General features: G+C 39.2%; 1 pseudogene, besides 1 other annotated feature; it reads right to left on the bottom strand.

The window, feature by feature from the left end:
- Positions 1–12,170: 12,170 nt before the first annotated feature.
- Positions 12,171–12,933, bottom strand: PDAP1P2 (PDAP1 pseudogene 2; annotated as a pseudogene).
- Positions 13,224–13,752: an enhancer, noted in NCBI's record as "NANOG hESC enhancer chr5:84844390-84844918 (GRCh37/hg19 assembly coordinates)". NCBI's record gives its function as "activates a minimal SCP1, AML or CMV promoter by ChIP-STARR-seq in naive H9 embryonic stem cells {active_cell/tissue: H9 hESC(naive)}" and the evidence as "EXISTENCE:reporter gene assay evidence [ECO:0000049][PMID:30033119]".

Below are 14,056 nucleotides of genomic sequence, written 5' to 3'. Positions count from 1 at the left end.
ATGGGGTACATGTAATATTTTGATACATGCTAGAATGTATAATGACCAAGCCAGGGTAACTGGGATGTTTGTCACCTCAAACACTTATCATTTATTTGTGTTGGGAGTATCTCAAGTCTTTCCTTCCAGCCATTTTGAAATATACAATAATATTTTTCTTTATTTCTTCTAAAAAAAAATAAAAACAGGATACATGTGCAGAATGTGCAGGTTTGTTACATACGTATACATGCTCCATGATGGTTTTTTGCACCTATTGACCCATCCTCTAAGTTCCCTTCCCTCACTTGCTACCCCCCAACAGGCCCTGGTGTGTGTTGTTTCCCTCTCTGTGTCCATGTGTTCTTAATGTTCAGATCCCACTTATGAGTGAGAACATGCAGTGTCTGGTTTTCTGTTCCTGTGTTAGATTGCTGAGAATGATGGCTTCCAGCTTCATGCATGTCCCTTCAAAGGACATGATCTCATTCATTTTTATGGCTGCATAGTATTCCATGGTGGATGTATGTCACACTTTATTTATCCAGTCAATCACTGATGGGCATTTCGGTTGGTTCCATGTCTTTGCTATTGTAAATAGTGTTGCAATAAACATACATGTGCATATTTCTTTATAATAGAATGATTTATATTCCTTTGGATATATACCCAGTAATGGGATTGCTGGGTCAAATGGTATTTCTGGCTCTATATCCTCGAGGAATCACCATACTGTCTTCCACAATAGTTGAACTAATTTACTTTCCCACCAACATTGTAAAAGCATTTATATCTCTCCATAGCCTCGCCAGCATCTATTGTTTCCTGATGTTTCAATAATTGCCATTCTGACTGGCGTGAGATGGTATCTCATTGTGGTTTCGATTTGCATTTCTCTGATGATCAATGATGTCGATCATGTTTGTTGGCCACATAAATGTCTTTTTTTTTCAGAAGTGTCTGTTCATATACTTTGCCCACTTTTTGATGGGGTCGTCTGTTTCTTCTTGTAAATATGTTTATGTTCCTAGTAAATTTTGGATATTAGACCTTCGTAAGATGGGTAAATTGCAAAAATTTTCTCCCATTCTGTAGGTTGCCTGTTCACTCTGATGATAGTTTCTTTTACTGTGCAGAAACTCTTTATTTTATCTAGATTGCTTTTGTCAATTTTGGCTTTTGTTGCAATTGCTTTTGCTGTTTCATTCATGAAGTCTTTGCACATGCCTATGTCCTGAATGGTATTGCCCAGGTTTTCTTCCACGGTTTTTATGATTTTATGTTTTACATTTAAGTCTTTAATCCATGTTGAGTTAATTTTTGTATTAAGTGTAAGGAAGGGGTCCAGTTTCAGTTTTCTGCATGTGGCTAGCCAGTTTTCCCAGCACCATTTATTGAATAGGAGATCCATTCCCCATTGCTTGTTTTTGTCAGGTTTGTCAAAGATCAGATAATTGGAAATGTGTGGTGTTGTGCTATTTCTAAGGTCTCTGTTCTGCTACATTGGTCTATATGTCTGTTTTGGTACCAGTACCATGCTGTTTTGGTTACTGTAGCCTTGTAGTATAGTTTGAAGTCAGGTAGTGTGATGCCCCCAGCTTTGTTCTTATGGCTTAGGATTGTCTTGGCTATACTAGGTCTTATTTGATTCCATGTAAAATTTAAAATACTTTTTTTCTAATTCTGTGAAGAATGTCAATGGTAGTTTGATAGGAATAGCATTGAATCTATAAATTACTTTGGGCATTATGGCTATTTTCATGATATTGATTCTTCCTATCCATGAGCATGAAATGTCTTTCCATTTGTGTCCTCTCTTATTTCCTTGAGCAATGGTTTACAGTTTTCCTAGAAGAGGTCCTTCATGTCCCTTGTTAGCTGTATGGTATTTTATTCTCTTTGTAGCAACTGTGAATGGGAGTTCATTCATGACTTGGCTCTCTGCTTGCCTATTGTTGGTGTAAAGGAATATTGTGATTTTTGCACATTGATTTTTTATCCTGAGACTTTGCTGAAATTGCTTATTAGTTCAAGAAGTTTTTGGGCTGAGATGATGGGATTTTCTAAATATAAAATTATGTCATCTGCAAATAGAGACAATTTGACTTCCTCTCTTCCTATTTGAATCACTTTATTTCTTTCTCTTGCCTGATTGCACTGGCCAAAACTTCCAGTACTATGTTGAATAGGAGTGGTGAGAGAGGGCATCCTTGTCTTGTGCCAATTTTCAAAGGGGATGCTTCCAGCTTTTGCCTATTCAATATGATATTGGCTATTAGTTTTCATAAATAGCTCTTATTATTTTGGGATATGTTCCATCAATACCTAGTTTATTGAGAGTTTTTAACATGAAGAGATGTTGAAATTTATCAAAGGTGTTTTTTGCATCTATTGACATAATTGTCAATAGATTTTTCTTGTCTTTGTTTCTGTTTACGTGATGGATTACATTGATTGATTCCCATGTGTTGAACCAGCCTTGCATCCCAGGGGTGAAGTCAACTTGGTTGCGGGGATAAGTTTTTTATGTGCTGCTGGATTTGGTTTGCCATTATTTTATTGAGGATTTTCGCATCAATGTTCATCAGGGATATTGGCCTTAAGTTTTCCTTTTTAGTTGTGTCTCTTCCCAGTTTCGGTATCAGGATGATGCTGGCTTCATAAAATGAGTTAAGGGGGATTCCTTCCTTTTCAATTGTTTGGAATAGTTTCAAAAGGAATGGTACCAGCTACTGTTTGTATTTCTGGTAGTATTCTGCTGTGAATTCATCTGGTCCAGGGCTTCTTTTTGTTGGTAGGTTATTAATTACTGCCTCAATTTCAGAGATTGTTATTTGTCTATTCAGAGATTCAGCTTCTTCCTGATTTAGTCTTGGTAGGGTGTATGCATCCAGGAATTTATCCATTTTTTTTCTAGTTTTTCTAGTTTATTTGCATAGAGGTATTTATAGTATTCTCTGATGGTAGTTTGTATTTCTGTGGGGTCAGTGGTGATATCCCTTTTATCATTTTTATTGTGTCTATTTGATTCTTCTCTCTCTTCTTCTTTATTAGTCTAGCTAGTCGTATATCTATTTTGTTAATTTTTTCAAAAAACCAGCCCCTGGATTTATTGATTTTTTGCAGGTTTTTTTGTTTGTCTTTATCTCCTTCACTTCTTCTCTGATCTTAGATCTTTCTGGTCTTCTGCTAGCTTTTGGGTTAATTTGCTCTTGCATCTCTAGCTCTTTTAATTGTGATGTTAAGGTGTCAATTTGAGATCTTTCCAGCTTTCTGATGTGGACATTTAGTGCTATAAATTTCCCTCTTAACACTGCTTTAGCTGTTTCCCAGAGATTCTGGTACATTGTCTCTTTGTTTTCACTGGTTTCAAAGAACTTCTTGAATTCTGCCTTAATTTCATTATTTACCCAAGAGTCATTCAGGAGCAGGTTGTTGAATTTCCACTAAATTGTGTGGTTTTGAGTGAGTTTCTTAATCCTGAGTTTTAATTTCATTGCACTGTGGTCTGAGAGACTGTTATGATTTCGGTTATTTTGAATTTGCTAAGGAGTGTTTTACTTCCAATTATGTAGTTGATTTCAGAGTAAGTGCCATGTGGCACTGAGAAGAATGTATATTCTGTTGATTTGGGTAGAGAGTTCTGTAGACATCTACGAGGTCCACTCTTGATCCAGAGCTGAGTTCAAGTCTTGAATATCCTTGTTAATTTTCTGTCTCATTGATCTGTGTAATACTGACAGTGGGGTGTTAAAGTCTCCACTTTTAATATGTGGGAGTCTAAGTCTCTTTGTAGGTGTCCAAAAGCTTGTTTTATTAATCTGGGTGCTCCTGTATTGGATGCATATATATTTAAAATAGTTAGCTGGCTCATCTTGTTGAATTGTTCCCTTTATCATTATGTAATGCCTCTCTTTGTCTTTTTTGATATTTGTTGGTTTAAAGTCTGTTTTGTCAGAGATTGATATTGCAACCTCTGCTTTTTTTTTGCTTTCTATTTGCTTGCTAAATTTTCCTCCATCCCTTTATTTTGAGCCTGTGTGTGTCATTGCATGTAAGATGGGTCTCCTGAATACAGCACACTAATGGGTCTTGACTCCTTATCCAATCTGCCAGTCTGTGTCTTTTTATTGAGGGCATTTAGCCCATTTACATTTAAGGTTAGTATTGTTATGTGTGAATTTGCTCCTGTAATAATGATGCTATTTGGTTATTTTGCACATTAGTTGATGCAGTTTCTTCATAATGTCATCAGTCTTTAGATTTTGGTGTGTTTTTGCTGTGGCTGGTACCAGTTTTTCCTTTTCATGTTTAGTGCTTCTTTCAGGAGCTCTCACAGGGTAGGCTTGGTGGCAATGAAATCACTCAGCATTTGCTTGTCTGGAAAGGATTTTATTTCTCCTTCACTTATGAAGCTTAGTTTGGCTGGATATGAAATTCTGGGTTGAAAATTCTTTTCCTTAAGAATGTTGAACATTGGCTCCAAATCTCTTCTGGTTTGTAGAGTTTCTGCTGAGAGGTCTGCTGTTAGTCTGATTGGCTTCCCTTTGTAGGTGACCTGGCCTTATTTATTTTTCTGGCTGCCCTTAACAGTTTTTCCTTATTTTGACCTTGGAGAACCTGATGATTACATGTCCTGGGGTTGATCTTCTCTTGGAGTATCTTAATGGTGTTCTCTGTATTTCCTGAATTTGCATGTTGGCCTGTCTTGCTAGTTGGGGAAGGTCTCCTAGATAGTATCCTGAAGTGTGTTTTCCAGATTGTTTCCATTCTCCCCATCTGCTTCGGATACTCCAATCAATCATAGGTTTGGTCTTCTGATGAAGTCCCATATTTCTTAGAGGCTTTGTTCATTGTTTTTCATTATTTTTTTTCTATGCTTGTCTGCATGTCTTATTTCTGTGAGTTGGTCTTCAAACTCTGATGCCCTTTCTTCTGCTTGGTCAATTAAGCTGTTGATACTTGTGTATGATTCATAAAGTTTTTGTGCTGTGTTTTTCACCTCCATCAGTTCATTTATGTTCCTTTCTAAAGTAGCTATTCTAGTAAGCAATTCCTCTAACCTTTTATCAAGGGTCTTAGCTTCTTTGCATTGTCTTAGAACATGCTCCTTGAGCTCAGTATAGTTTTTTTATTACCCATCTCCTGAAGCCTACTTCTGTCAATTCATCCATCTGATCCTTCATCCAGTTCTACCTTCTTGATGGAGAGGCGTTGCAATGATTTGGATAAGAAGAAGCATTCTGGCCTTTTGGGTTTTCAGCATTTTTTCATTGATTCTTTCTCGCCTTCATGAGTTTGTCTAGTTTTGGTCTTTCAGGCTGCTGATCTTTGGATGGGGTTTTTGTGGAGGAGGCCCTTTTTGTTGTTGTTGTTGATGCTGTTGTTGTTGCTTTCTGCTTGTTTTTATTTTCCTTCAATAGTCAGGTCCCTCTTCTGTAGGGCAGCTGCAGTTTGCTGGGGGTTCACTTCAGGCCCCATTTATCTGATGTCACCTAAGGAGGCTGGAGAACAGCAAAAATGGGTGCCATCTCCTTCCTCTGGGATCTGACCTCAAGAGACACCTGAGGAGGCACTCTGACTGCCACAGCTGGGTGTTGGGCTGTGGGAACAAGTCTTGGGACCAGGCCTTCCAGCCTCCCTGGCTCCAACAGGGGAAAAATGCAGCCTGGAACTATAGAAATGGGTGCCGCCCTTCCCCCGCCCAGGGATCTTAGCATGTTAGGCAGTTTTAAGTCCCAGCGCTGTCTGCTGCCCCTCCCTCAAGGATCTCAAATGGCTTGGACAGCAGGCAGCCATAGTGGGTGCTGGTCACCCCTTCCCCTGGGAGTTCAGTAGGCTTAAGCAGATTCCAGCTGAAAGGCTGCAAGAATTTGTGCATTTCGGGGTTGGGACACCAGGCCCCAGTGGCATGGATTCATGAGTGGGATCTTTTGATCCGTTAGCTGCGCAGTTCCATGGAAAAAGCAGTTTCCCCTGTTGAGTAGTAGGCTCACTCATACCTCTGTTGGCTAGAGGCAGGGGTTTCCCCTTCCCCAGGTGGCTCTCAGGTGGTCCATTGCACCACACTGTTCTTCCTTCTCTCCATGAGTCACTCCAGCCTTCTAGTCAATTTTGATGTGACAACCCAAATACCCTGGTTACTGGTGAAAGATTCACAGGCTTATTATGATTTTTTTGGGTGGGAACGTCTGAAAGCCACTGCTTCTAGTCGGCCATCTTAGTCCCACCCCATACAATACATTTTTGTAGCTATAGTTGCCCTACTATGTTATTGAACCCTAGAACTTTTTTCTCCTATTTAACTGCATTTTTGTACACATTAATCAATCTTTTTCCATACCTGCTTCCTTCTTACCCTTCCCAGCCTCAGGTAACAACTATTCTACTCACTATGTCTATAAAATCAATTGTTATGGTTCCCACATATGAGTCAGAACATACAATATTTTTCTTTCTGTGCCTGGTTTATTTCACTTATAATGTTCACCAGTTCCATCTGTGTTACTGCAAAATAGGATTTTCTTTTTTATGACTTAATAGTATTTCACTCTCTCTCTCTCTCTCTCTCTCTCTCTCTATATATATATATATATATAGAAAATGTATATATAACACATTTTCTTTATCTATTCATCTGTTGATGCACACAGGTGGATTGATTATCTTGGCTATTATAAATAGTGCTGCAATAAGCAAGAGAGTGCAGATCTCTTTGATATACTGACTTTCTTTCAGATTTATATATGCAGCAGTGGAATTGCTGGATCATATGGTAGTTCTATTTTTAGTTTTTTGAGAAAGCTTCACATTCTTTGTCTTAATGGCTGTACTAATTTACATTCCCACCAAAAACATTTAAGAGTTTATTCTTCTTTGCATCCTCACCAGCATGTTATTTTTTTGTTTATTTATTTTTATAATAGCCATTATAACTAGGGTGAGATGACATCTGATTTAGATTTTGATTTGCATTTACTTCATGATTGGTGATGTTCAGCAATTTTAAATATCTGTTGAACATTTATGTGACTTCTTTCAAGAAATGTATATTAAGCTCTTTGACTCATTTTAAATTGAATTATTTGAATTTTATTTTGCTATTTATTTGAATTTCATATGTATTTTGTTTGTTTTTCCTGTTTAGTTGTTTCAGTTCTTTATATATTCTGTTATTAATCCCTAGTCAGATGGATAGATTGTCAATATTTTTCCATTGTGTATGTTGTCGCTTCACGTTGTTGATGGCTTCTTTTGCTGTGCAGCTTTTTAGCTTGATGTAACCCATTTATCAATTTTTGCTTTTGTTTCATATATTACATTTAAGTCTTTAATCCATGTCAAGTTTATTTTTGTATATAGTGAGTGATATGGGTTGGCTCTGTATCCCCACCCAAATCTCATCTCAAATTGTAATCCCCACATTCCAGGGAAGGGGCCTAGTGGGAGGTGATTGAATCATGGGAGAATTCTCACTTCCTGTTCTTGTGATAGTGAGTGAGCTCTTGTAAGATCTGATTGTTTGAAAGTGTGTGGCACTTTCCCCCTCTACTCTCTCTCTCTCCTGCTGCCATGTGAATAGGGTATTTTCTTCCCCTTCACCTTCCATCATGATTGTAAGTTTCCTGACACCTCCCAATCATGTCTCCTCTTAAACCTGTGGAACTGTGAGTAAATTAAACCTCTATTATTCATAAATTACCCATTATCAGTTCTTTATACCAGTGTAAAAACAGACTTATACAGAAAATTGGTACCAGGAGAGTGGAACACTGCTTTAAAGATACCTGAAAATGAGAATGCAACTTTGGAACTGGGTAAGAGGTAGACAGTGGAACAGTTTGGAGGGCTCAGAAGAAGATAAGAAGATGTAGGAAAATTTGGAACTTTCTAGAGACTTGTTGAATGGTTTTGACCAAAATGCTAATAGTAATATGGACAATAAAGTCCAGGCTGAGGAGTTGTCACATGGAGATGAGGAATTTATTAGAAACTGGAATAAATGTCACTCTCTCTATGATTAAGCAAAGATACTGGCAGTATTTTGCCCCTGCCTTAGAGATCTGTGTAACTATGAACTGGAGGGAAATGATATAGACTATCTAGCAGAAGAAATGTCTAAGGAGCAAAACATTCAAGTTGTGGCCTGTCTGCTCCTAACAGCATATAGTCATATGTGTTCACAAAGATATGATCTGAAATTGGGACTTATGTTTAAAGAGAAGCAAAGTATAAAATTTTGGAAAATTTGCACCCGACCATGTGGTAGAAATGAAAACTCATTTTCTGGAGAGAAATTCAAGCCTGCTGCAGAAATTTGCATCAGTATAGAGAAGCCTAATGTTAATAGCAAAGACAATAGAGTAAATGTCTCCAGGGCATTTCAGAGATTTTCACAGCACCGCTTCTCATCATAGGATTGAAGGTTTAAAAGGGAAAATGGTTTTGTGTGGCCAGGCCCAGAGCCTTGCTGCTCTGTGCAGCCTTGGGACATGGTACTCTGCATCCCAACCACTTCAGCTCCAACTCTGGCTGAAAGGGGCAAAGGTACAGCTTAGGCCATGGCTTCAGAGGGTGCAAGCCAAAAGCCTTGGTGGCTTCCATGTGGTGTTGAACCTGTGAGTGCACACAAGGCAAGAATTGAGGTTTGGGAACCTCCATCTAGATTTCAGAGGATGTATGGAAATACCTCATGTCCAGACAGAAGTCTGCTACAGAGTCAGAGCCCTCATGGAGTACTTCTACTAGGGCAGTACAGAGAGAAAATGTGGGTTTGGAGTCCCCACACAGAGTCCTCATTGGGACACTGCCTAGTAGAGCTGTGAGGAGAGCACAACTGTCCTCTAGACTCTAGAATGGAGCTGCATCATGTGTCTGGAAAAGCTGCAGGCATTCAAAGCCAGCCCATGAAAGCAGCCACAGGGGCTGTACCCTGCAGAGCTATAAGAGCAGAGCTGCCCAAGGTCTTGGTAGCCCACTCCTTGCATCAGCATGCCCAGGATGTAAGACATGGAGTCAAATAAGATTATTTTGGAGCTTTAAGATTTAATAATTGCCCTGCTGGGTTTCAGACTTGCATGGGGTCTGTAGGCCCTTTGTTTAGGCCAATTTCTCCCTTTTGGAATGGGAACAATTACTCAATATTTGTACTTCCATTGGATCTTGGAAGTAACTAATTTCTTTTTTTATTTTACAGGCTCATAGGCAGAAAGGACTTATGTTGTCTCAGATGAGATTTTGGACTGGAATTTTCAGTTAATGCTGAAATGAGTTAAGACTTTGGGGAACTGTTGGGAAGGCATGATTGTATTTTAAAATGTAAGAAAGACATAAGATTTGGGAGGGACCAGAGGTGGATTGATATAGTTTGGCTCTGTGTCCCCACCCAAATTTTAGCTCAAATTGTAACCCCCATATTTTGGGGAAGGGGCCTATTGAGAGGTGATTGAATCATGGGGGCAGAATTCCCCCTTGCTGTCCTCATGAAAGTGAGTGAGTTTTCATGAGATCTGGTTGTTTGAAAGTGTGTGGCACTTCCTTTTCCACTCTCTCTCTCTCCTGCCACCATGTGAAGAAGGTATTCCTTCCCCTTTGCTTTCTGCCGTGATTGTACGTTTCCTGTGGACTCCCAGTCACATATCCTGTTAAGCCTGCAGAACTGTGAGTCAATTAAACATTTTTTTCTTCATAAATTACCCAGTTTCTGATAGTTCCTTATAGCAATATAAAAATGGACTAATACAGTGAGAGATAGTAGTCCAGTTTCATTCTTCTGTACATGGATATTCAGTTTTCCCAGAACCATTTATTGGATAGATTTTCCTTTCCCCATAGTATGTTCTTGGTGCCTTTTGTAAAAATGAGTTGGCTGCAAATGAATGGATTCATTTCTGAGTTATCTATTCTGTTTCATTGGTCTTTGTGCCTGTTTTCATACCAGTACCTTTCTGTTTTGATTAGTATAGCTCTGTAGTATATTTTGAAGTCTGTTAGTATAATACCTCCAGCTTTGCTATTTTTGCTAAGGGTTGCTTTGACTTTTCAAGTATTTCATGGTTTTATACAAAATTTATGATTTTTTTCACTTCTAAGAAGAATCTTATTGCTATTCTGATAGGGATTACATTGAAAATGTAGATCATTTTGGATATTATGGACATTTTAACAGTATTATTTTTTCCAATCCATGAACATGGAACAGCTTTCTACCTTTTTGTGTCCTCTTCAATTTCTTTTACTGATGTTCTATAGTTTTTATTCAAAGATCTTTTAATTCTTTGGTTACATTTATTCCTAAGTACATTTTGTCGCTATTGTAAATAGAATTGCTTTCTTAACTTTTTTTCCAGATTGTTTGCTGCGACTTACACTACTGATTTGTACATGTTAATTTTGTATCTTGTAACTTTATTGAATTCATGTATCAGTTCTAAGATTATTTAGGTGGAGTCTTTCATTTTTCCTAAATATAAGATCATAGTGTCTGCACACAGGGAACAATTGAATTCTATCTTTCCAATTTTGATGCCCTTTATTTGTTTCCCTTATCTAATTGCTCTGCCTAGGACTTTCAGTACTGTACTGAATAAAAAATGATAAAAGCAGGCTTCCTCACCTTGTTGTAAATCTTAAAGAAAAACTCATTTTTTTCTCAATATAATGTTAGCTATAGGCTTGTCATATATGACCTTCATTATTTTGAGATATGTTCCTTCTATACCCAGTTTTTTAGCGTTTTTTAATTATAAAAGGATGTTTAATTTTCTCAAATCCGTTGTTAGCATCTACTGAGATTATTATTTGAATTTTTTTTTTGACTACTAATTCAATGTATCACATTTTCTTTCATGTGTATTGATCACTCATCTATGGGATGTTTTACACTTTATCATGGTGAATGATCTTTTAAATGTGTTGTTGAATTCAGTGTGCAAGTATTTTGTGCAAGATTTTCATCTGTGTTCATCAGTGATGTTGATGTTTAGTTTTCTATTTTTGTTGCGTCTTTGGTTTTGGTATCAGGAAAATGTTGGCCTCATAAAATGAGTTGAAAAGATTCCCTCCTTTTCAATTTTCTTGAAAAGTTAGAGTTGAATTTATATTAGTTCTTCTTTGAGTGATTGTTAGAATTCAGCAGTGTAGTCATCAGTTCTTGGGCTTTTCTTTAATGTGAAAATTTTTAATAAAATTTTATTTTGTTCCGGAAAGTTTTTTTTTAAATTTATCCTTCATATTTAAAGGCTAGCTCTGCTAGGTACAGTATTTTTTGGTTTTTAGTTTATTTTTCTTCAGCAGTTTAAATATTTCATTCTCCCTTTTGACCCATAGCATTTCCACCAAGAAGTCTGCTGCCAGTTTTTTCTGAATTCCTTTATATTTGCTTTTTTTCTCTTGCTTCTTTTAGTATCCTTTCTTTTTCATTGACCATTGAGAGTTTGACACCTTAGAGTTGTCTTATTTGGATTGAGTCTGTTTGTTGATTGTTGGTCTTCTTGCACCTGGATATTAATATGTTTTGCTAGGTTTGCAAAGTTCTCTGTTAATGTTTGAATAAACTTTATACCCCTATCTTTTCTCTGCTCTCTTTTTAAGGTAATCATTGTTATATTTGCACTTTTGAGGCTATTTTCTAGATCTCATATGCATTCTCTATTTTTTATCATTCTTTTTCTATTTCTTTTGACTTTTTTATTTTTATTTTTTTTCGATAATGTCAAGTTTAATCTGCCAAATATACAAGTTGAATTTGTGGAGCATGTTTTGCCTGGGTGCCACACAGTAAACAGAGGTTTCTTGAAATGATCAACGGGTAGGGTTAAAAAGGCGCACTGGCCCCGGCCAGGTGGGTAGGAACCGGTCAGAGAAGGGCAGACAGGCGAGGCTTCGGTCAGATAGGACTGACCAGGAACAAGCCATGACCCTTGAGGACACAGGGACACGGGCTCCCAGATGACAGCCTCTCTCTGAATGAGCACCCAGGCAACACAGTCCGGGGCTGGGCGTAGCAAACCCGTCAGCAGCTGCCTCCTGGGTCAACCACCCCCTTAAGTGCTATCTATCAGACAAATGAAAGCTATTCTTACCCCATCTCCCAGGCACCCCCAGCAAGGGCTCTGAATTGTAAAAACAGTGAAAACATTCAAATGGTTATATATGAAATGCTGTCCTGCATCTTTCTGTCTCAAAGATAGCAGCTGCCCCTGCCCCAGCGCCTCACCACATCCTCCAAACAATTTATGTGCGAAGATGAAGAGGAGACCCCAGGCCATGGGGGGCTCCTGGCCGTGAGGGGCTGTTGCAGCGGCGCCAGGGCACAGGGTGGGCGAGACACAGCAGAGGTCCTGGCAGCGCGGCCCAGGTCCCCGGCATCTCCTCCCACGGGTTGCGGTTACTTATACAGGAAGAGTGACTGCATTCGTTTTCCTGACAATGTGGCATAGTCTTTTGCTTTTCTTTCCTCTTCCTTCTTCCTGGCAGCCTCCTCCCGCTGTTTCCGGATGATGGCCAGCTGGGCCAGGTCGGCCTTGGCTTGCTCTGACTTCCCGGCCAAGTGCATTTTCATGTAACGCTCTTTTGCCTTCTGCTTCTCAATCTCTTCTCGTTCTCTCCTCGAAAGCTCTGTTGGCCCGTCCAGATCCAGTTGTGTGACCTTTTTGGTTGTCTGTGCCACCCGGTTGGGGTTCTCGATGTCTCTGAGCCCTTCGACGCCTTTGCACTTTTGCTGGTAGTCACCTTCTTCGTCCTCACTCTTCATCTGAGTCTAGAGATTTCTTCTCCTTTTTGGGGTCACCTGCAGCCCCATCTCCACCTTCTTTTTGGTCCTCTTCTTCCCTGGCCTTCTGCTTCTCAGCATGCAGCTGCGCTTCAATCTCCTCAGGGCTCGTATACTGCCTCGCCTGGCCTTTGTGGCCTCCCTTTCTCCCTCCTTTAGGCATCGCGGCTCCGCGGCTGCGGTCTTGACTTTGTATTTTAAATAGCCTACCTTTGAGCTTACCAATTATTTTTTTCTGTTTGATCAATTCTGCTGTTGTGACGTTTATTCAATTTCACTTTGTCAATTGTATTTTTTAGCTACAGGATTTCCATTTGACATTTTAAAATTATTTCAATCTTTTTGTTAATTTTTTATAATAAATTAACAAATTGTTTATGTGTATATATTTGCATGTTTTCCTGAAGTTCATTGAACTTTCTCAAAACAACGAATTTTAATTCCCTGTCAGAGAGGTTACATATCTTCATCCCTACAGGGCTGATTATGGTGTCTTATTTAGTTCATTTGGTGAGGTTATATTTTCCAAAATTTTATTAATGTTTGCGAATGTTTGTTACTGTTTGGGCATTGAAGAATTAGATATTAATCTAGCCTTCACATCTTACCTTATTTGTATTTGTCCTTTTCCAAAGGACTTTCCAAGAGTTCAAAGGGGACTAATTGTTGAGTTTCCTAAGCCTGTTGTTGCTGCAACTATTTCCACACAAAAGGGCATGCTAAGTGCAGATTCCTACATACTCAGCCTTGATGGGCTTGGTGAAGATTAGGAAGAATTTCCTGGGATCCCAAGTAAAGTCCCTTGCTCACTTGCCTCTTTGTTCTCTAAGCAAATGGAGTCTCATGATGTTCTGAGATGCCTGGAGTTGAGGCAGGAATGATATGGGCACTCCTGTGACCACTGCTGGCACCACACCACAAGCCCATGGCCTCCCAGACCAATAAAGTCCCAGGGATAGTCCAAAGACTGTGACCACTATTTGTTCAATTCCTGAGGCCACGGTAGTCAGCTAGTGGTGAATCCACTCAGTAATGCATTCCCTTCTGGCCCAGGATAGGTTTAAAAGCCCTCTTCAGGGGCAAGAGCCTGAAATTAAGGGTTTGGGGGCTCTTTCCAGGGCTGCCTTACTATTGTGGTGCTGGTACTAGGTTTTAAGGTAAAGTCCCCTGTGGATGTCTCTCTTCTTCCGCCAAATGGCGTCTCTCTCCATGATGCACTGCATGGAGATGGATGAGGGGTGACGCAGGTACTCCTGTGGCCAGTGAACCTGGTGTTACACTGAATTACACCCTGAGCTCACAACC

This window comes from Homo sapiens, chromosome 5, assembly GCF_000001405.40.
Source record: "Homo sapiens chromosome 5, GRCh38.p14 Primary Assembly".
NCBI lineage: Eukaryota > Metazoa > Chordata > Mammalia > Primates > Hominidae > Homo > Homo sapiens.
Note: the sequence above shows the minus strand (reverse complement) of the source record. Positions and strands in the feature narration are given on the sequence as shown.